Raw genomic sequence first — 24,489 nt, forward strand, 5'->3', positions numbered from 1 at the left:
AGTCTTTTTACTTCAACTAGCATAGTGATCATTATTTTAAATTCTCAGTATTAAATGAGATTGGGTGTAATTATTAGATTAATTGATTTTTGAAAAGAAAAACCAGTGGGTTTTTTTTTAAAAAAAAAAAAAACATCTATTTTCATCCCATTACTTTACTGAGCAGCCCTTAGAGTAAAGACAGTTTGTTACTTTTGCCTGATATTTTCAAAAATGGAAATAACAACAGCCTTCCTCAAATGGAGTATGGGAGTCTAAAGTTCTGTATGGCTTCTTAAAGCATATCCAAAACATCAGGTTCATTAGGCATCACATTCAATCTTGTTATATTTGTTAATAATAGTGTTTAAAGAGAAGAAAATCCAAAATGAAAAGTACAAATTATGAGAAGTCTGACTCCTTTATTTTAGAGAGGAATGGACTGTGGTCTGAGAGGAGTGACATAGCTTCTAAGAGTCAGATCCAAAGCAAACACAAGTAGCCCATCCCCAGAGTGTGCGGCCCACTTCTTTCTGCCTCTGCCGTGTGGAGACCATCTTCCAGTGCAGATGCTACAGTCCTGGGTATCTGAGCTAGAGATTATGCAGAGGAGGCATCCAGCTCATTTCAAATGATCTTTTAACAATTTCTGGAACAGCTAAGGAGGCCTTAGGGACTTACCATGTGGACTTACCATGTGTTTTGTAAGGAATCTATCATGTATTTTGTAAAGATGTACAAGAAAAAATTTATGAAATTCTGTTTAGCCTAAAATTCATTTAATGTTAAAATTTTAATTATATGCTGTACAAATTTCAGGTTTGGTACACAGAATGTTGAAATTCCTCATCTTCCTCAAGATTTTGAAGTTGCAAAATATAACACCTTGGAGAAAGTAAGAATCTGATTTCTAGTTAGCAAAAAAAAAAACACACCTGTTTGACTGTCTTCTGAGTGTTTTTCCTATTTGATATTTTCTCATTGTTTTGAAAAATTATGCATATCCTGAATATCATATATTCCTTAAAATATGAGTTGATTTTATTTATTTATTTATTTTTGTGGAGACAAAGTCTCACTATGTTGCTGGTCTCGAACTCCTGGGCTCAAGCCATCCTCCCTCCTTAGCCTCCCAAAGTGCTAGGATTACAGGCGTGAGCCACTGTGCCCGGACCTGATTTTTAACAGCCAAGAAAATGTTTATGTTTAGAATTTAATGTTTAAATTTTTAGTATTTATATTATAAAAGAAATGCATGCTCATAGCAAAAATTTTAAATAGTATAAAATATCAATATGGCATTAAAAATAAAAGTCCTCTTCCCTGTTATTAACATTTTCTTGTATTTGGGAAGGGAAGGTTTGACACTAAGTATTTACGCTATGTTGCATTTCCATTCCTTTTGCATTAGAAAGAAAAACAAAATCCCTTTTTTTTTTCTTTTTCACAAAGTCATGCAAATGAAAATCAACACTAGTGTCTGGTGTGGCATCACTCGCCTATAGTTCCAGCTACTTAGGGGGCTGAGGCAGGTGGATCTCTCGAGCCCAGGAGTTTGAGACCACCCGTTTGAGGCCACCCTGGGCAATATGGCAAGACCTCTGTCTCTAAAATATATAGAGAGATATAAATCGACACTAGCCTTCAAAGTGATGTTCCATTTGTATTTTTAGGTATGTTAATAAAACATAATTTGAAAATAACATTTCCCTCATTGATAAAGAAAACATGAAAAATGGTACGGCATAAACATATACAGATCTATTTATGGGATGGTAAAAATACAGGAGGGAAATGTACCAAAATATTAATAGTGATTGTATTGCTGTCATAGGATTTTAGGTGATTTTAATTTTCTTCTTGATACTTTTCTGTATTTTCTAAATTATATCTCTAAATGAACATATATTATTTTATAATTATAATGAACATTTTCAAATGGCACATGTAGTTTGATGTTTCCCAAGTGCAGCTTCTGAAAGCACATCCTATTTTCCAGGTGGGAATGGAGGGAGGCCAGGAAGCTGTGGTTGTGGAACTGCAGTGTTCGCAGGACTCCAGGGACTGTCCTTTCCTGATATCCTCACACTTCCTCCTGGATGATGGCATGCAGGTAATGCTGTTTATATTGAGTCCTATGTGTTTATTCACCTCTGTTCATAACTCGTTTCAATGAACCAGCCAGCCTCCCAACCTTTTTCTTCTTACCTGGTGTCTTAGCTCAGGCTGCTGTTAATAAATGCAACAGGCTGGGGAGCTTAAACAACAGACATTTATTTCTCACAGTGCTAAAGGCTGGAAGCCAAGGTCAAAGCGCAGCAGGGTTGATTTCTTCTGAGGTGAGGCCTCTCTCTTTGGCTTACAGACGGCTGCCTTCTTGCTGTGTCCTCACATGATCTTCTACCTGTGGGTGTCTGTGTCCTCATCTCTTCACATGAGGATAGCAGTCATATTGGATCAGGGCCCACCCCTATGATCTCACTTAATTAATTAATTACCTCTTTAAGGGCTCTATCTCCAAACACAGTCCCATTGTTGAGGTCCTGGGAGTTAGGACTTCAGGATATGCATTTTGTAGGGGTACAGTTCAGCCCTAACACCTGGTAAATAATTTTGCAAAGGGGAAATGTGTTCTCTTTTGGAGTATGGGAGGTGGGGACCTCACCCCCTGAGTAGATCAGCACAGGGTCCCACTAGGAGGGAATGTTTAATGGGTGCAGGGTGTATAGCATTTTTGTTCTTGTTCCACATCACTTATGGGATATTTTCCTAATATTTACACCTCTGAAAGCATTCCACTGATACACTTCATTAAGCACCTGCTATATACCAAGCAATCGACTAGGGCTGACACTCAAAGATGAAAATAGCTTCACACCCTGGCCTCAGAGATCACTGTCTAGAAAGAAATAACACTCATCATTACAATCCACTGTGATACTTCCAATCCTGAATATATATATATGAGATATTGAGGGCTCAAGGTCACAGAGCCCTGGGAACAATAAGGGAGGCTTTGCAGAGGCCATGACCTTTGCCTTAGGTCAGTATCAGTTTAAGAGCACAGTTCCAATCTAAAATAATCATGAAACAAAAATAAATTTAGAATTAATGCCTGAAGTTCAAATAAAATTCTGTAACATTCACCAGGATGCCTTCTCAAGTAGACATTCAGAGTTACAGGTTTTTTTTTTTTTTTTCCTCAAGACAGAGTCTCGCTCTGTTGCCCATGCTGGAGTGCAGTGGTGCGATCTCGGCTCACTGCAATCTCTGCCTCCCAGGTTCAAGCAATTCTCATGCCTCAGCCTCCCGAGTAGCTGGGATTACAGGCAAGCATCACCAAGCCTGGCTAATTTTTTTGTTTTTAGTAGAGACAGGGTTTCACCGTGTTGGCCAGGCTGGTCTCGAACTCCTGACCTCATGATCTGCCTGCCTTGGCCTCCAAAAGTGCTGGGATTACGGGCATGAGCCACTGTGTGCTGCCTACAGATCTATCTCGGGCCAGGAAACAGTCACTTCTCTGTGGGAGTGGCCCTCACAGAGGCCCACACAGGCTCCAGGAGCTTTTCCCTTTGTTCCCACTCTGAGTGTCAGCTCAGGTACAAGAGAAAGAGACTCACGTCAGGTGGATGTGAGATCCACTTGGCTTGGAAGCCCTACCCCACAAGAGCCCATAGCTCTTGTAACATTGTCTTAGGTTCCAGATGCCCTCAAGGGACATACCCAATTATATGAGTCACTGCTCTCTGACAAGCCCAAAGCTTGGGTTTCCCACCATTGAACCCCCTGTCTCAATGCAATTTATCAATGAGAGGCCACAATTACATAAGCAATTTTGCCTACTATTACAGCTGACATGCCATCTTTATCAGATTTCCATGGGAACAGAGCTAGAAAGCTAATCCATGGTCAAATGTGTCCAAGAAGGAGAAAGGGTTTTGTTACCCTTGTACCCTGAAATGCATACTGGATTTTGTGGAGGATTTAGTTGTTTGGGTAAGAAGTAAGTAAAAACGAAGGTGAAAAACATGATAGAATGTGTGATTGTTTTCTTCATTGAGAAAGAAAACCGTAGCATCGTGTAGGCCAGGACATCCCTCAGGGTGCCTTCCTCCCTTAGCGAGCCCGAGTCTGTGTAGAGATGATAGAATGTGTCGTTGTTTTCTTCATTGAGAAAGAAAACCGTAGCATCGTGTAGGCCAGGACATCCCTCAGGGTGCCTTCCTCCCTTAGCGAGCCCGAGTCTGTGTAGAGATGATAGAATGTGTCGTTGTTTTCTTCATTGAGAAAGAAAACCGTAGCATCGTGTAGGCCAGGACATCCCTCAGGGTGCCTTCCTCCCTTAGCGAGCCCGAGTCTGTGTAGAGATGATAGAATGTGTCGTTGTTTTCTTCATTGAGAAAGAAAACCGTAGCATCGTGTAGGCCAGGACATCCCTCAGGGTGCCTTCCTCCCTTAGCAAGCCCGAGTCTGTGTAGAGCACCCCCTGGGTGAGCCTGGTTTGCTGAGCAGAGAAGCCTGTCCACCTTGATAGCAGTGAGCCTCAGTCCACCGTTCTGCTGAAGAGGATTTTCCAGCCTGCCCTTCTGCTTAATAAAACCATTTTGATGGGAATCTTCCAAAATTACGTTAAACTCTACCTTCTTAAATGGAGTGACTTCAACAGGCACTTCTTTTTTCCAAGTTTCAGAGGTGTCCTGCAGCCCCCCTATCTGGGAGGGTGGTTTATGGGTATCCCGAGTAGTGTGGCTTCCCAGGGCTATGATTTCTTTTTAATGGAAAATTATAAGTGTTGGTGAGGATATAGAGAGACTGAAAGCCTCATACATTGCTGATGGGAGGGAAAAATGATGCAGCCTCTGATGATTCCTCAACAAATTAAACATATGATTAAGATAAGACCCAGCAATTCCACTCCTAGTTCTATACTCAAAGGACTTGAAAGCAAGTACTCAAATAGGTACTTGTACATGAATATTCATAGCAACACTATTCACAACAGTCAAAAGGTGGAAATAACTCAAATGTTCATCAACAGGGAAATGGATAAACAAAATGTGATAAATATATGTAATAGAATATTATTCAGCCATGAAAAAGGAATGAAGTACTGACACATACTCAAAAATATTTTTTTTTGAATGAACCTCAAAAATATTATGCTGAGTGAAAGAAGCCACATATTGTATGATTCTGTTTATATGAAATATCTAGAATAGATAAATCCACAGAGACAGCAAATTGTGTGGTGCCATTAGAGGGAGGGATGGGGACTGACAGCCAAAAGGTATGGGGTTTTCTTTTGGGCAAATAAAAATTTTGGAACTAGAGGTGGTGATTACATGACATTTTGAATGTTCTGTACTAAATACTACCTAATTGTACACTTAATGGTTAATTTTATCTTTTTGTAATTTCACTGTAATTTTTAAAAAATCTGGGCCAGGCATGGTGGCTCACACGTGTAATCCCAGCACTTTGGGAGGCCAAGGTGGGCAGATCACTTGAGGTCAGGAGTTTGAGACCAGCCTGGGCAACATGGTGAAACCCTGTCTCTACTAAAAATGCAAAAATTAGCAGGGCATGGTGATACACGTTTGTGGTCCCAGTTACTCAGGGGGCTGAGGCACAAGAATCACTTGAACCCGGGAGGTGGAGGTTGCAGTGAGCCAGGATCACGCCATTGCACTCTAGCCTGGGAGACAGAGCAAGACTCTGTCTCAAAAACATTCGTTTCCACAGGCCTTCTCCAGATTTTGTTTTTATATGTAATCAAATTCTTTTGGTTTGACTTTTGACCCTCCCCTAGGTGTCTGTTGAGATCTATACTAATTAAGAGTCCGGTGACATGGAAGGTAGAATCAGGAAGGCAATAAGCTTTCTCCAGGAAGACAGGAAGAGCCACGTCAAGCCCCGGGAGTGGCAGCTGCAGTTCAGCCCTCCAGGGCTACCTGAGCAAGCCCTTGGCGAGCCACCCCACCCCCTAAGTACAAAAGCAGTCACACAGCTAAAGTGGGCTTCTTCTTAGGGAAAGATCCTGCTGCTGTGAAAAGTTAGATTTCCTTCATTTCACTAATCATGATTTCTTTATATTACTTTTTTCTAGTTACAAAACTCATGTTCTTTGCTAAAAGCTTAGAAAATATCTAAAAATATGAAGAAAATTAAAAATCACTCAAAATATCACCACCCAGGGACAACCCAGATATAACATAACCACTGTTAACATTTGGGTGTAGAACATAACCCAGCCTGAATCACCCCGATGCTGCTCCCCCGGGGGTGTGCTGGTAAGCCAGCTCTGTGAAGGAAAAGTCCTGGTCTGGAATATTTGCTGAGTTCTGGGAAGCAAATACTCCCACCACAGCTAATGTCAAGGTGCTGACCTGAGGCCACTGGACATGGGGTTGGGAAGATGTGCCCTTCCTCCCACCACAGCTGCCCTCAGCCGTACCCCCGTCTCCCCCAACAACTGCCCCATCTTAGCTACCCACTCAGAGCCAGTGTGGGGTCTCTCTGTCCCTCATCCCCACATACCCACGTTCTGTCAATTCTGCCTTCAAAGTGTCCTTCGTCTGTTGGCTACTTCCATTCACTCTGCCGCCATCTTTAATCCGATCATGTTATCCCATCTACAAAGTCCTTCCAGATTCTCCTCCACTCCTGCCCCATCCAACCCATCACAACCAGTGAGGTCTTAAAATACACATTTTATGGTGCCACATTCCAATAAACGTCACCTCCCAAGAGAGGCCTTTCTTGACAACCCTTTCTCCAAACCTGGTTGGTTTCCTAAACAGCACTTAAAAATAAGGTATTTGATAACTTTTTTTTTTTTTTTTTTTTTGAGATGGAGTCTTGCTCTGTCACCAGGCTGGAGTGCAGTGGCACGATCTTGTCTGACTGCAACCTCCACCTCCTGGCTTCAAGTGATTCTCCTGCCTCAGCCTCCCGAGTAGCTGGGACTACAGGTGTGCAGCACCACGCCCAACTAATTTTTGTATTTTTACTAGAGACGGGGTTTCACCGTGTTAGCCAGGATGGTCTCATCTCCTGACCTCATGATCCGCCCGCCTCGGCCTCCCAAAGTGCTGGGATTACAGGCGTGAGCCACCGCGCGCGGCCGATAACATTTTTTTTTTCTTGAGACGGAGTCTTGCTCTGTCGCCCAGATTGGAGTGTGGTGACACGATCTCGGCTCACTGCAAGCTCAGCCTCCCGGGTTCATGCCACTCTCCTGCCTCAGCCTCCTGAGTAGCTGCGACTACAGGCGCCCGCTGCCACGCCCAGCTAATTTTTTGTATTTTTAGTTGAGATGGCGTTTCACCGTGTTAGCCAGGATGGTCTCAATCTCCTGACCTCGTGATCCGCCCGCCTCGGCCTCCCAAAGTGCTGGGATTACAGGCGTGAGCCACTGCGCCCGGCAAACTTTCTTTCTTTTGAGACAGAGTCTTGTTCTGTCGCCCAGGCTCTAGTGCAGTGGCGCGATCTCGGCTCATTGCAACCTTTACCGCCCCCATCCCCCGCCAGGTTCAAGTGATTCTCCTGCCTCAGCCTTCTGAGTAGCTGGAACTATAGGTGCGCACCACCACGCCCAACTAATATTTGTATTTTTAGTAGAGATGGGTTTTCCCCATGTTGCCCAGGCTGGTCTCAAACTTCTGGGCTCAAGTGATCCAGCAGCCTTGGCCTTCCAAAGTGCTGGGATTACAGGCCTGAGCCACCACAACCGGCCAGAAGTTACATTTTTTTTTTTTTTTTTTTTTCAGAGACATGGTCTTGCTCTGTTGCCCAGAGCAAGAACTATATATTCCATATATTATCATATATTTGACAAAATTGGGATCATACTATGTATAAAGTTTTGTAATCTACTTTTAAATTTTATATTTTACTGTATGTTTTACTACATATCCTTATTTTTTTTAAAGAATTTGATTTTTTTAATACCTGCATAATACTTCCAAGATAGGCTGTGCTATGACTCATTGAATCAGTTTCCTGATAATGGACATTTGGACTCTTTTGGGATTTCTTCTGCTATAATGACTTTTTGTTTTGTTTCCAATTATGTAATCTAAAGGCTTTTCTTCTAATTCTTACAGTAAGAGCCCAGTGGATGTCTTGCAGATATTTAGAGTTGGCAGAGTGAATGAAACCACAGAGTTTTTGAGCAAACCTGGCAATGTGAGGCCCTTGTTGCATGGTTCTCCTGTATGAAACATCGTGGGAATCTTGTGTCGGTAAGAGTAGCCATCTTTATTTTTCAAAAATTTCAGCCTCACAAATGTGAAGTGTTTTACTTTTTTTTTCCTACTTTTTTCTATATTACATGGGTCTTTTCAGTTAAAATCAGCTAGCTTACTGCATTCTGGAGAAAATTACACAGTTTATAATTAAGTGTGTAATTTAAATTACATATTTATGGCTGGGCAGGGTGGGTCACACCTGTAATCCTAGCACTTTGGGAGGCTGAGGCAAAAGGATCACCTGAGGCCAGGGGTTCAAGACCAGCCTGGAAAACCTAGCAAGACCTCATCTGTATTTTGAAAAATTATGTATCTATTATTTTTAAAATTTAGCAAATAGGTATGAATTGCTTCTTGAAGACTGTATCACATGAAGAAAAGTGATTCTATATTCATGAGTCTTCCATGTGTATCTAATCTAGGGATAGCCCAATATTTAAAGAGAAGAGTCCAGAAATTAGAGTGCACACCAGACAACACGAGTTGTTTATTTGAAACATAACTCTAAGATTCTGTTTGCTTTGAATTACTACTTAATATTAGGACTGAAACTGAAGTCACAGGAGCAGGAGAAAATACTATTAAATGTAGATCCATTAATTAAGTACTTAGAAGAAAAGTAAAAAGAAACATACAAGATTCACCTGGGGGAAAAAAAAAAAACCAATAAACTGCTACTGAGGGACCCAAAAGACAACTTGCATGAATCAGAAGGATGCCAGTTTTTCCTGGATTAGTCTATAGATTTAGTGCAATCATGATAAAATTACCAATAAGATTTTTTTAAAGAAGTGAAAAGCTGATTCTACAACACATACTTTTTTTAATTTTGAAATTACCAGAATAATTCTGGAAAAGAAGCGTAATGAGGGTGACATTAATATTAAACAGCAATTAACTCAAAAACACAGAAGATTTAGGATATGATACAAGCAGATCTTTGTGGAAGAAAGACAAGTTCTTCAATACTATCTATAGAGATAAACGGGTAACCGCAAGGAAAAAATATAAAGTTGGACCCTTACCTCATTTCTCATACTTAAACTCCAGATAGAGCAAATATTTAAATATTTAAATTCAAACCATAAAAGTATACTAAATGAAAAATGGGAGAATCTTTTTAAAATAATCTTTAAGTAGGGATGAGCTTTCTAAGTAGGACCAAAACCCAAAAGCTATTTTACAAAATTCATTAGATCTCCTAATACGAAATTCAAACAGTAGGTGTTTATAGAATAAAAGGCAGGGGCCGGGAGCGGTGGCTCATGCCTGTATTCCCAGCACTTTGGGAGGCTGAGGCAGGTGGATCATGAGGCCAGGAGATCGAGACCATCCTGACTAACACGGTGAAACCGCGTCTCTACTAAAAATACAAAAAATTAGACGGGTGTGGTGGCACATGCCTATAGTCCCAGCTACTCGGGAGGCTGAGGCAGGAGAATGGCGTGAACCCGGGAGGCGGAGCTTGCAGTGAGCTGAGATGGTGCCACTGCACTCCAGCCTGAGCAACAGAGCGAGACTCCATCTCAAAAAAAAAAAAAAAAAGGCAGAAATCTCCCTTTACTTGTGTTCCGAGAAACAACCATGGCTTCACCCTGATTGCAGAGTTCTCTGAATGCCAGAAGTTCAGTAGGAACCTGCCAAAGTTCTGAGCGAGGGAGAAATGCAGTCAGTGTTGGGCTTACACCTTATCCTGCCCTTCTCTTTTCAGAGGGTTGCTTTTACCCAAAGTAGTGGAAGATCGTGGTGTGCAAAGAACAGACGTCGGAAACCTTGGAAGTGGGATTTATTTCAGTGATTTGCTCAGGTATGTTCGATCCTTAATCACAGAATCATTACTGAGTACTTGCTATGTGTTTTCTTCTGTCTTTCCTTGGTGAGGGAGTTTCTCAACCAAAACACAGATTTATCTATTATATATGACCTCAATATGCCTGGAATACTATTTCATCTTCAACATCCTTGATAATATTTAAATCTGCCCTTGGGCCAGACATGGTGGCTTATGCCTGTAATCCCAGCTCTTTGGGATGCCAGGGCAGGAGGATCACTTGAGCCCAGGAGTTTAAGACCAGTCTAGGCAACATAGCAAGACCCCATCTCTATAAAAAATTTTAAAAATTAGCTGTGCATGGTGGCGCTAATAGAACCCATAGTTCCAGCTACTAGGGAGGCTGAGGCAGGAGGATCACTTGAGTCCAGGAATTCAAGGCTGGAGTGAGCTATGATTATGCCACTGCAGTCCAGAGTGGGCAACACAGTGAGAAGAACCCCATGTACATCATCTGCCAACCTCATAATTGGTATTGCGACATCATTTTATGCAAGGAAACAGACTCAGGGAGGTCAGGGAACTTGCCTGAGGTTGCAGAGCTAATTAAAGGATAGAGACTGAGTTCAGGCCCAGGACAAAGTATAATGATCCAAGATATTTAAAGAGTTCCTACAAATCAATAAGGAAAAGATAAGCAACTCTATAAGCAGATGTGCAAAAGACTTGAATAGAAACCCAATAGCAAAGAAAATGACCTGGGACCAGGCGCAGTGGCTCATGCCTGTAATCCCAGCACTTTGGGAGGCCAAGGCAGGTAGATCACTTGAGGCCAGGAGTTCGAGACCATCCTGGCCAATGTGATGAAACCCGATCTCTACTAAAAATACAAAAATTAGCTGTGCGTGGTGGTATGCACCTGTAGTCCCAGCTACTCAGGAGTTTGAGGCAGAGAGATTTCTCAAGTCCAGGAGTTTGAGATTAGCCTGGGCAACACAGCAAGGCCCTATGTCTAAAAAAACTTTTTAAAATTAGCCAGGCATTGTGTCATACATCTGTAATCCAAGCTACTCAGGAGGCTGAGGCAGGAGGATTGCTTGAGCCCAGCAGTCCAAGGCCACAGTGAGGTATGACTGAACCACTACATCCAGCTTGGGAGACAAAGCGAGACCCAATCTTTAAAAAAAAAAAAGAAAGAAAGAAAAGAAAAAAGAAAAAAAGAGAGAGCACTGTAATAACAGAACACTGGAAATCATGCAGATGTCCATGGACAGTGGAATGGATCCGTACATTTTGGTGGAGTCCTACATGAAGTCCCATCCTGAAGTTTAAACAAGTGGACTGTGGCTACACATGTCAAATGGATGAGCCTTAGGACCTTAGTGGAGCAAAAGTTACTAGATGATTCTATATACAGGCATACCTTGGAGATATTGAGGGTTTGATTCCACACTACTGCAATAAAGCAAATATTGCAATAAAGTAAGTCACACACATTTTTGGTTTCCCAATGAGTATAAAAGGTTTACACTCTAGTCTATTAAGTGTGCAATAGCATTGTTTTTTTTAAGAAATGTACATACCTTAATTTTAACATACTATATTACTAAAAATGCTAATCATCTGAGCCTTCAGTGAGCCATTGTCTTTTTGCTGGTGGAAGGTCAAGACCTCAATGTTGATGGCTGCTGACTGATGAGGGTGGTGGTTGCTGAAAGCCGAGGTGGCCGTGGCAATTTCTTAAAATAAGACAAGAATGAAGTTCACCTCAGCAATTGACTCTTCCTTTCATGAAAGATTTATCTGTAGTATGAGATGCTATTTGATACCATTTACCTGCAGTAGAACTTCCTTGAAAATTGGAGTCAATTATCTCAAACACTGCTGCTGCTTTATCCACTAAGTTTATGTAATATTCAAAATCCTTTGTTGTCAGTTCAACAATGTTCACAACATCTTCACCAGGAATGGATTCCATCTCAAGAAACCACTTTCTTCACTCATTCATAAGAAGCAACTCCTCATTCATTCAAGTTTGATCATGAGATTGCAGCAATTCGGTCCCATTTTCAGGCTCCAATTCTAATTCTAGTTCTCCTGCTGCTTCTGCCACATCTACAGTGACTTCCTCCACTGAAGTTTGAACCCCTCAAAGTCACCCAAGATAGAATAAACTTCTTCCAAACCCCTTTTAATACTGATATGCTGACTTGCTCCCATAACTCATCAAATGGTCTTAAGGGCAAGGAGAATAGCGAATCCTTTCTGGAAGGTTTTCAATTTACTTTGTTCAGATCCATCAGAGGAATCACTGTCTAAGGCAGCTATAGCCTTACAAAATGTATTTTTTTTTTTTTAGAGTTGGGGACTTGCTCCATTATTGCCCAGGTGAGAGTACAGTAAGATGCAACCATAGCTCCCTGGAACCTCAAACTGCTGGACTCAAGTGATCATCCCACCTCAGACTCCTGGGATTACAGGCATACCTGGCCAAAATATATTTCTTTCTTTCTTTTTTTTTTTTTTTGAGGTGGAGTTTGCTCTTGTTGCCCAGGCTGGAGTGCAATGGCGTGATCATGGCTCACTGCAACCTCCGCCTCCTGGATTCAAGCGATTCTTCTGTCTCAGCCTCCTGAGTAGCTGAGATTACAGGTGCATGCCACCACGCCTGGCTAATTTTTGTACTTTTAGTAGAGATGGGGTTTCATCATATTGGTCAGGCTGGTCTCAAACTCCTGACCTCAGGTGATCTGCCCTCCTTGGCCTTCCAAAGTGCTGGGATGACAGGCATGAGCCACCGCACCCAGCCCAAAATGCATTTCTTAAATAATAAGACTTGAAAGCTGAAATTACTCCTTGATCCATGGCTGCAGAATGGAAGTTGTGTTAGCAGGCGTGAAAACAACAAACTCCTTGTACCTCTCCATCAGAGCTCCTGGATGGCTAGGCGCTTTGCCAGTGAGCAGTCATATTTTGAAAGGAACCTTTTTTGTTTAGCAATAGATCTCTACACTGGGCGTAAAATTCAGTAAACCATTCTGTAAACAGATGTGCTGTCATCCAGGTTTTGTTGTTCCATTTATAGAGCACAGAAAGAGTAGATTTAGCACAATTCTTTAGGGCTCTAGGATTTTTGGAATGGTAAGTGAGTACTGGCTTCAGCTTATAGTCACCAGCTGCATTACCCCCTGACAAGAGTCAGCCTGTCGTCTGGAACTTTGAAGCTAGCCATTGACTCCTCTCCAGCTGTGGAAGTCCTAGATGGCATTTTCTTCCAATAGAAGGCTGTTATGTCTACATGGAAAGTCTGTTGTTTAGTGAAGCCACCTGCATCAATGATCTTAGCTAGATCTTCTGGATAATTTGCTGCAGCTTCTACATCAGCACTGGCTGGTTCACCTTCCATTGTTATGTTATGGAGATGGCTTCTTTCCTTAAACCTCACCCAACCTCTGCCAGCTTCAACCCTTCCTTCTGCAGTTTCCTCACCTCTCTGAGCCTTCATAGAATTGAACAGAGTTGGGGCCTTGCTCTGGATTAGACTTTGGCTTAAGAGAATGCTGTGGCTGGTTTGATCTTCTATCCAGACTATTAAAATTTTCTTCATATCAGCAATAAGGCTGTTTTGCTTTCTTATCATTCGTATGTTCACTGGAGCAGCACTTTTAATTTCCTTCAAGAATTGTTTCTTTACATTCACCACTTGGAGAACTGTTTGTTGTAAGAGGCCTAGCTTTCAGCCTGCCTTGGTTTTCAACATGCCTTCCTCACCAAGCTTAATCATTTCTAGCTTTTGATTTAAAGTGAAAGATGTACAACTCTTTCTTTCACTTGAACACTTAGAGGCCACTGTAGGGTTATTAACTGGCCTAATTTCAGTATTGCTGTATCTCAGGAAATAGGGAGGCCAGAGAAGAAGGAGGGAGATGAGGGAACCACTGGTCAGTGGAGTAGTCAGAACACACATAACATCTACCAAGCCCACCACCTTATATGGGCACAGTTCATTGCACCCAAAACAATTGCAACAGTAACATCACAGATCATTGATCGCACACTGCCATTACAGCTATAATAAAAATGAAAAGGTTTGAAACATTGTGAGAATTACCAAAATGAGACACAGAGACACAAAGGAAGCACATGCTGTTAAAAAAAAAAATGGCACCAGTAGACCTGCTCAACACAGAGTTGCCACAAACCTTCAATCTGTAAAAAAAAAAAAAAAAGCAATATCTGCAAAGTGCAATAAAACGAGGTATACCTGTATGTGCAAGGCTCAAAAACAAGCAAAAGTATACATTACATTGTTGAGGGACATATATCTGTGCATTAATACTATGAAAGAAAATAGGCCAGGCACAGTGGCTCAAGCCAGTAATCCTAACCCTTTGGAAGACCAAGGTGGATGAAATTGCTTGAGGCCAAGAGTTCAAGACCAGCCTGGGCAACATAGTGAGACCCCATAGCTACAAAAATGTTTTTTTTTCGAGACAGAGTCTCACTCTGTCGCCCGGGCTGGAGTGCAGTGGCACGATCTCGGCTTACTGCAATCTCCTCCTGCGGGGTTCACGCCATTCTCCTGCCTCAGCCTCCCTAGTAGCTGGGACTACAGGTGCCTGCCACCACGCCCGGCTAATTTTTTTGTATTTTTAGTAGAGACAGGGTTTCACCGTGTTAACCAGGATGGTCTCGATCTCCTGACCTCGTGATCCACCCGTCTCGGCCTCCCAAAGTGCTGGGATTACAGGCATGAGCCACTGCTCCCAGCCGCTACAAAATTGTTTTTAAAAATTAGCCAGGCACAGTGGTGCACACCTGTAGTCCCAGCCTCAGGAGACTGAGGTGGGAGGATTGCTTGAAGCCAGGAGGTTGAGGCTGCAGAGAGCTATGATTGCACCACTGCACTCCAGCTTGGATGAAAGAGTGCAAGACCCTGTCTCAAACACACACACACACACACACAAAAGAGAAAACTGTTATAAAAAGGGGGACACAGTAAAACCTCTCCCACCTACCCAGGGTCTCCTCTGTGGCTCCTTATGGAATAAATTCCACATGGGAAAAAAGAGAAAATAACACACACAAAAATCAAGACAGTGATCAAATTACCTCTGGGTGGGAGAGAAGGTGAGCTGTGGGGCAGCATAGAAGTTTTAGGGATGTTCTAGCTCTTAAGCTAAGTGGTAGCTATGTGGATATTTATCTTATTATTCTGTAAATATGTATATCATAAATGTTTTTTCCTATGCACAATATATCAAAGTAAAAATTTTTAGATGTGAATTGAGCCAAATAGCAGTGGATTAAGGAGTAAATGAGCCAGAAGAGACGGTCACTGGCCCCCTCTGCCAGAACGTGGTGAGATAGGAAGCAACAGAGAGAGCTCCAGGGAGAAGTCCAGGGTGGGGCTTAATGAAAAGGAAGGAAGCATGCTTGTAAGTTGCAGGAAAAGAGCCTTCCAAAGGGGAGAGGTTTATAGAAGGAATGGGGGGACTGATTTTTTTTTTTTTTTAGTGGGGGAAACAAAGAAGGGTCGTCTGGCCATACTTCTGCATTTTGAACTTAATCTTTAAAAAATAAGGCCGGGTGCGGTGGTTTACGCCTGTAATCCCAGAACTTTGGGAGGCCGAGACGGGCAGATCACGAGGTCAGGCGATCGAGACCATCCTGGCTAACACAGTGAAACCCGGTCTCTACTAAAAATACAAAAAATTAGCCGGGCGTGGTGGCGGGCGCCTGTAGTCCCAGCTACTCCGGAGGCTGAGGCAGAAGAATGGTGTGAACCCGGGAGGTGGGGCTTGCAGTGAGCGGAGATAGCGCCACTGCAGTCTGGCCTGGGGGAAAGAGCGAGACTCCCTCTCAAAAAAAAAAAAAAAAGAAAAGAAAAAAAATAGGCCGGGCGCGGTGGCTCACGCTTGTAATCCCAGCACTTTGGGAGGCCGAGGCAGGCCGATCACGAGGTCAGGAGATAAGAGACCATCCTGGCTAACACCGTGAAACCGCGTCTCTACTAAAAATACAAAAAAATTAGCCGGGCGTGGTGGCGGGCGCCTGCAGTCCCAGCTGCTGGGGAGGCTGAGGCAGGAGAATGGCGTGAACCCGGGAGGCGGAGCTTGCAGTAAGCCGAAATCCGCCACAGCACTCCAGCCTGGGCGACAGAGGGAGACTCTGTTTCTAAAAAAAAAAAAAAAAAAAAATAGAGATGCGTCTCTAAAATGTTGTCCCGTGTCCAAGTGTTCTCATTGTTCAATTCCCACCTATGTAACAAACCTGCACGTTGTGCACATGTACCCTAGAACTTAAAGTATAATAAAAAAATAAAATGTTGTCCCCAAAGGTGTGTCCTAGCCTGTGCTCCTAATAGCAAGAGTTGCCTTATTAAAGCTGCTGATTCCCCAAGAAAGATAAAACAACATTTCTCATTTGGATATCATTTGAAATGTTTGTTTTTCCACTCAGAAGGCTTTGTGAGAGCTTGTCTTTCCCTTTGACCGGTTCTTACTCACTTGGTACCCACAGTTCTTACTCCTTTCCGAGCTTTAGTGCAGAGAATTAAATCTACTTTTTCCTAATTAATAAGGCGGTGATTTTTCCTTCTACTTACCACCCCGGTATTTATGACAGCAAAGTGTGTATATTTTAGTAGCTAAAAAAGATTTAGGAGAACAGTAGAATTCATTTCCGTCTGGAAACAAAGTGTTTTGAGCACTGCCTAGCACAACATAAGGGCAATATACATATTTGTCACGTAGAAATGCGAAATAGGCCAGGCATGGTTGCTCATGCCTGTAATCCTAGCACTTTGGGAGGCTGAGGAGGGAGGATCACTTGAGCCCGGGAGTTTGAGACCAGCCTGGGAAACATAGTGAGACCCCATCTTTGCAAAAAACTTTAAAAGTTAGCTAGGTGTGGTGCACACCTGTAGTCCCAGCTACTCAGGAGGCTGAGGCAGGAGGATCACTTAAGCCCAGGAGTTCGAGACTGCAATGAGCTATGATCGTGCCACTGCACTCTAGCCTGGGTAACAGAGCAAGATTCTGTCTTAAAAAAAGAAGAAGAAATATTAAATAAATAAGTGCATAATAAAGTTCTAAATTGAGTCTTTGGAGATATTTCAATAATAGGAAAATTTAGAACAGTTTACCAGGAAAGTCTTTTCAATAGTATGTTATTGACAAGTCACTCTAAGCTATAAATATGTGTTTATTTCCTTTTGCATGTATTACAAGTATCAAGTACTCACACCTGGGAGAGACAGATGGCACCAGACTCCTGCTCATTTGTGACGTAGCCCTCAGAAAGTGTATGGACTTACACGAGAAGAACTTTTCCTTGACTGAAGCACCACCAGGCTACGACAGTGTGCATGGAGTTTCACAAACAGCCTCTGTCACCACAGACTTAGAGGTATTTTTATATCAAGGAACAAGCAAAGAGGGTCTTGAATGCTCAAAGAAGAGCCTCAGTTTTTTGCTCCTATTTTCATTAAATATACTTAAGTTTAAATAATTGTTAAATATTTACTGCATGAATTCAACATTTTCTAAATTAGCAAACATGATTTTATGAAAACATCTGCCCATACAGGTTTTTTGTTGCTATTGTTGTTAATCACCTACTGATTTCTATTTGCTCTAGAATGATGAATTTGTTGTCTATAAAACCAATCAGGTTAAAATGAAATATATTATTAAATTTCCCATGCCTGGAGATCAAATAAAGGACTTTCATCCTAGTGATCCTACTGAATTAGAGGAATACAGACCTGAGTTTTCAAATTTTTCAAAGGATGAAGGTAGGACAATTTTCTTGAATGCGGTTTTATGTTATTATATTTATAGACCTCAAATGTTATATTTTCAATGGAGTGTATATTTGCATTTATTTTATCTATGACCTCATTCATAAGTATTTCATTTCTTTTCAATCTCAGAATTGTTTCCCACAAATTTCTCTCAATGTTAACATCAGTCAAACCCCTCTGCCTAATATCAAAATAGAGCACTTAATTTTAAAATATATATATATATATATATATATTTTTTTTTTTTGAGGCAGGGTCTCACTCTGTCCCCCAGGCTGCAGTACAATGTGTGATCAAAGTGCACTGCAGCCTCAAACTCCTGGGTTCAAATGATCCTCCTGACTCAACCTCCCAAGTAGCTAGGACTACCATCCGTGACCTTTTTTTTTTTTTTTTTGAAACGGAGTCTCGCTCTGTCGCCCAGGCTGGACTACAGTGGCGCCATCTCGGCTCACTGCAAGCTCCGCCTCCAGGGTTCACGCCATTCTCCTGCCTTAGCCTCCCAAGTAGCTGGGACTACAGGCACCCGCCACCGCACCTGGCTAATTTTTTGTATTTTTAGTAGAGACGGGATTTCACTGTGTTAGCCAGGATGGTCTCAATCTCCTGACCTCATGAACCGCCCGCCTCAGCCTCCCAAAGTGCTGAGATTACAGGCATGAGCCACGGTGCCCTGCCAACATTTTTTAATTTGTTTTTTTTTTTTAAGAGACGAGATCTCACTATGTTGCCCAGGCTGGTCTGAAATTCCTGGCCTCAAGCGATCCTCCTGCCTTGGTATCCCAAAGTGCTGGGATTACGGATGTGAGCCACCATGGCCAGCCTCATTTCCTTTTTTATCTTGCATACATAAAAACCAGGATGCTTGAGAAAGGTTAAGCGATCTCAAAATTCCATGTGACTTCATTAACACACTGAAGTTGAGCTTATTCCCTTCAGGAATAGCCAAGGCTAAAAACCTGTGGAACCTTGCTAAGATGTCATGGTGCAGAAAGTGTAATGGGATGGAGAGAACCGACAGCAGAGCCGCTGTAGAGCCAGGAAGCCCAGGGTTTGAGTGTTGCCCTGCCACCCTGCAGTCTTGAAACTGCATACCTTTTGCGCTCCACCTTCTCTCCGATGGGAATGAGAGAAATTGAAGGCACTGAGTAAATTGCCATGTGTGGTGCGTGTGTTAGCCATAGTAATGCGAGCATACAAGAGTATATTCACTTCTCAGAGTATCATGAGCCCAAACAATTACAGTATTAATTAGTAGGACTGTAAGAACACATTAACATTTTTGACCGTGCTCAAATTATTTTTTGTCAGAAATGCATGAGGTCATGTGTGTTCAGAGGTGACTCCAATTTTTTCTCTGGGTGTCATTAAGTGAAATATCTGGCAAGATGATATGTATTTATATTTCCTAACCTTATCTGTATTCTGTATGTTTGTACCACTTACAATAGGATGTGAACATTTTTCAGTATGCTGCCATAGGAGCCTTGGATTGAAAATCTACGTTGTTTGATGCCATCCCAAAATGCTTGGGTGGCACCATAAATAATAGTGACCGAGCCCTTCCACACTACAAGCCAGGGAATGCAGACACCTGGATTCAGGCTTCAGCCACCCTTGAGACAGTCTGAAGACTTCTGTGTATTTGTGTGTATATTTAAATATATGTCAAGTAATGCTATGTTTTCAAGAGGACACCCCACAGTCTGTACATTAAAAAAGCAGAAGAGCACATGCCTGTAGTCCCAGCTACTCAAGAGGCTGAGGCAGGAGGATTACTTGAGCACAGGAGTTCAAAACCAGCCTGGGCAACATAGTGAGACTCCCATCTCTACCAAAAAGAAGAAAAGAAGAACAAAAATTTAAGCAGAAGGGTCTTTAAAAAAAAAAAAAGGCAGGCCAGGCATGGTGGCTCACACCCATAGTCCCAGCACTTTGGGAAGTCAAGGCAGGTGGATCCTTTGAGTCCAGGAGTTCAAGACCAGCCTGGGCAACATGGCTAAACCTCATCTCTACAAAAAAATACCAAAAAATTAGCTAGGCATGGTGGTGCATGCCTGTAGTCCCAGCTACTCAGGAGGCTGAGATGGGAGGATCACCCGAGCAAGAGAGGATGAGTCTACCATGAGCAGAGATTGTGCCACTGCACTCCCACCTGGGTAACAGAGTGAGATGCTGTCTCAAAAAAAAAGGCATCTCCCATTTTTCTCATGTGGGTTCACTTGCTTTTCAAAATTGGCTATTGAAAATCATAAAATGCTGTTTATCCATTTTCCCTAAAATAAAATGCATGAAGGCATGGAGAAGGAATAAAGATCAAGATAACAAAAATAGACAGGGATGGTTTTGAAAGCTAATGGTAACATTTTTAACATTTAGATTACCAGTTACCAGATGCCAAAACTTCCAGCAGCACCAAGGCCAGCCTCCAGGATGCCTCTGGGAACTTGGTTCCTCTGGAGGATGTCCACATCAAGGAGAATCATAGACACTGTAGCCCAGGTATGTTGTCTGTGGCTTTATGACACTTAAACTACATGGATGTAAACCATACATGAGAATTTGATTGCAGTTGCCTGAACTGAAGGGAATAGATAGATTTCTAAAATGTATTTATTCAAGAGATATTCGCTGAGCACTCCATGCCAGGGACTAGCTAGGCTCTGGGCATCCAGCAGTGCACAACACAAAAGCTCTGCCCTTGTGGAGCACACACTGTGTGGGGGAATAGGCAATAAACATGATGAAAGAGTGAAACACATAACATGTTAGATGGTGACAGGTGCTAAAGAGAAAAATGAAAGCAGGAGGGGATAGAAGCTGTGAAAGACGGGGGCTTTGAACCTGTAAACAGAATGGCCACGGAGGCCTCCCTGAGAAGGTGACATCTGCATACAGACCTGAAGGAAATGGGGGCTAAACTGTGTGGACATCGGGGGATGCTTATTCCGGGCAGCGGGAACATCACATGCCAAGGCTCAGAGGTAGAAAGGAGGCTGATCTGGCCCAGGCGCGCCAAGGAGATGCACTGTGGCTGCAGTGGGGTGGAAAGGGGAGAGTGCGTGGGGACTGAGTCAGAGAGGTGAGGGGCTCTCACATCAGCACACAGGTCATGCTGTCCTTGACTCTGAGTGAAATGGAAGCTTCTAGATGTTTGGCAGAGGAATGACATGAACAGACCTGTTTTAACCGGCTCACTCTGGCCACCATGTTGGGAACAGTAGGAAGAGGCCCAGTGGGAGAAATGTTAGGTCAAGTTCCCTGGAAAGCAGACTCTGGATGGAATTTGTTTTCAGGAAGCCTGTGGGACTGTGCCTGCGGGAGCCGCACCTGTGAGGGAGTGAGGGAGGCAGGACGTGGCCGAGGAGACAACAGAGTCCTCAGATGATCTTGGGGGAAGCTCTGGGCCAGAGTGGTCCTTGAGAGAAGGTCTGAATCAAGGCAAGGGGGCCGGGCTTTGTAGCCCCACTGGGGCCAGTCCTGGGATGTGGGCTGCTCCGGGGAGGGGTCAGAACCTTGGCTAAGGCAGTTTGTCTTTGGCTGAGGACGGTTCCTGGGGAGGCGCCCCACAGGTGACACTCCTAGCAGTCTCAGTACTGAAGGTGACACAGCGGGCCCAACGTCACATCACATAGAGGAGACGATTGACAATTCAGTTAAGGGACCTGGTGATGTGGAGAAGAAGGTTTGCAGTGGGGGTATAGGAAGTGATGGAGTCTGCCAAGGCCTGAGGGCAGAGCCAATCAGATTTGCTGGTGGGGACGGGACAGGATGACAGCAGGATGTTTGCCCTGAATAACTAGAAGGATCATGTTTGCATTTACTAGAATGGGCAAAGTCACAGGAGGGCAGGTTGGGGGCCATCAGGAGTTTATCTTTGGCCACGTAGGTCTTGTGGCTACATAGGGCCAGGGAGGAGACCCAAGCCGGACTTATAAGTGGGGAGTCAGCAGCATTCAGATAGTGTTTAAAGTCATGAGCCCAGATTAAACACCCAGAGAATCAATAGAGCACAGAAGCCAACATGGGGATGTAGGGGAGGAGGCTGAGTCAGCCACGGAGACCAAGAGGGAGCGGCTGTAGAAACACACGAGGACAGCTGAACAGGGAGGGCAGGAAAGGCTGCTGGTGGTCTCATGAATAATGACCAGCCCTAACCATTGGATTTAGCAATGAGATTGTTGGTGACCTTTGCCTTTTGATGGTGTTGTGGGGGTGAAAGGCTGATCAGAGTGAGTTCAAGAGAGAATGGGAGGAAGAATGGGGAGACAGAGGAGAGGATGAGACAGCAGCTGAAGAGAAGTGGGGTTGTGTTTTCTTTCTCCTTTTAAGGTGCAAGAAACAACAGCATATGTGGGAGTCAGCGCAGGAGGGAAACCTGGCGACCTGGGAGAGGGGAATTGCTGGAGCTACTTCCTTCTCTACACCCTTCTCTATGTTTTATTGCATAAATAGGAAATATTGTTGAAAAGACTTTCCGGGTAAACTGTTCTGAATTTTACTTTTATCAAAAAGACTCAATTTAGAACTTTCTTATGCCCTTATTTATTTAACATTTCTATGTAACAAACATGTATATTGCCCTTATGTTGTGCCAGGCAGTGCTCAAAGCACTTTCTTCCCAGAGAGAGATGAATTCTACTGTTCTCCCAAATCTTTGTTAGCTTCTAAAATATACACATTTTGCTATCATAAATACCAGGGTGGTGGCTGGGTACGGTGGTTCATGCCTGTAATCCCAGGACTTTGGAGGGGAGGCGAAGGCAGGAGGATTGCTTGAGCTCAGGAGTTCCAGACCAGCCTGGGGAACATGGAGAAACCCCATCTCTACAAAAATTGGCTGAGCGCAGTGGCGTGCACCTGTAGTCCCATCTACTTGGGAGGTTGAGATGGGAGGATGGCTTGCCATTACTAGAATGGGCAAAGTCACAGGAGGGCAGGTTGGAGGAGGCAGAGGTTGCAATGAGCCAAGACCGCACCACTGCACTCCAACCTGGGTGATAGAGCGAGACCCTGTCTCAAAAAAAAAAAAAAAAAAAAAAACTCAGGGTGTTGAAAGAGAAGGAGAAAACCCCACCTTATTAAATTATCTGCACTGAAGCTCAGAAAGAGCATTAAATACCAAGTGAGTAAGAACTGGTCAAAGCGAAAGACAAGCATCACAGGAGGGTTATCTAATGCGGGTGCTGGGGCTGCAGCCAGGAGCTCGCAGCAGGTTCATCATCCACAGTCACAGGATGGAAGGCAGCTTTTCAGGGGTGCCAAGTGGCCAGATGCAGTGGTAAGAGCTTGGAAAGTTAAGTTTTTGGTTTTCTAAAATTGAATTGGTTTGCTAAGATTTGGCCTCATGATCAGCTTCTGACTCTGAAGATTGCATTGAACAACCATAAAGGCCTTTTAGGAGATTAAGAATGTTCAAGTACAGTGCCATGATGTTCTGATCCCTGTAGAGGGAAATTAGCTCCATTTCAGTGATCACCTTAATCTGGGGATATGCGGTGTTGGGTGAGAAGAGCAGTTTGGATATAGCTGACCTCCACCCCTGGGCCCACTCTGACCCATACGCACATCTTCAAGGCAGCTCAGAGCAACAGCATACACTTTGAAAGACCCAGCTGTGGGCTCATGGGACATGTTCCATTTCCGCCAATCCCTTTGGCACCACTTAGGATCTGTAAACATAATGGTTACCATTTCCTAAGAGTCAGGCCCTCAGCCGAGTTTTCCACATGCAGTACTTAATTCTCTCAGACTCAGATCATTCTGATTCCAGCGTCCAGGTTCTTAACCAGTACACCATAGTGCAGCATGGTAGATCATACAAAGCAAAGGATCCGGAGTTTGTAAGGCTTAGCTTTGAATTCTTGCTTATTCTTTCTAGTGCTGTGAGTTTGGGAAAGTTACTTAACTCCTTTGCCTCGTTTTCCTCATGTGTAAAATGGAAATAATAATATCTGCCCATCAGTGTTGTGGCTATTCGATCTAATAAATATAAAGAACTTAGGGATTGTCCTTACGTGCAAAACAAATTATGACGAGGTTACAGGGAGAGGCGTGTGTCCTCCATGCCTTACTTGGTATTAGACGACTTGTACCGTTTGATATTTCAAACCCAAAGAGGCCTGTTCCCTGGGGAAGTTTGCCCCAAAATAACTTTCGATTTAGCAGTGAATTTCTCACTCATTTTATGATGAAACAGCCGGACTGTAGACCGAGCTTGAGTATCCAAGCAGAGGCTGGGGTGTAGATTCTTATATGTGCATGGCTGATACATTTTGACCCTTCTTGGAAGAGATTAATGATGTTAAGCTTAGTTACTTCATGGTTTTATCTAATGGAAGAAAATTAAGATGTCAAAATTTGTTACATTATATTAGTTTCTGTTCTAAGGCCTGGTAAAAATACTTTTATTATAGTCTAAAATTATTGACCTTTGTGAGTGCCCAGCCACACAGTGTGATATGCAAAGAGAGTGCAGCTGACACAGGCCTGATGTCTGGCCTCCTGGGGACTCCTGTGCAAAGGCAGGCCTGCTAAATAGAACAGGCAGGAAGGCTACTGAGTAGGAAGAAACATTAGTCTATACCAAGTACAATTAGATAGTGGTCCTGATCATCAAACTCAGGGCAAGCATACATGCCTTTAAGGGTTTCGTAAAACTGAGGAAATCCAAGAGAGGATGA

General features: G+C 43.1%; 1 pseudogene; it reads left to right on the forward strand.

Moving 5' to 3' along the window:
• Window positions 1-24,489, forward strand: part of PARP4P2 (poly(ADP-ribose) polymerase family member 4 pseudogene 2) — a 59,018-nt pseudogene that overhangs the window by 219 nt on the left and 34,310 nt on the right.

The sequence above is a fragment of the Homo sapiens genome, chromosome 13 (assembly GCF_000001405.40).
Source record: "Homo sapiens chromosome 13, GRCh38.p14 Primary Assembly".
Taxonomy (NCBI): Eukaryota; Metazoa; Chordata; class Mammalia; order Primates; family Hominidae; genus Homo; species Homo sapiens.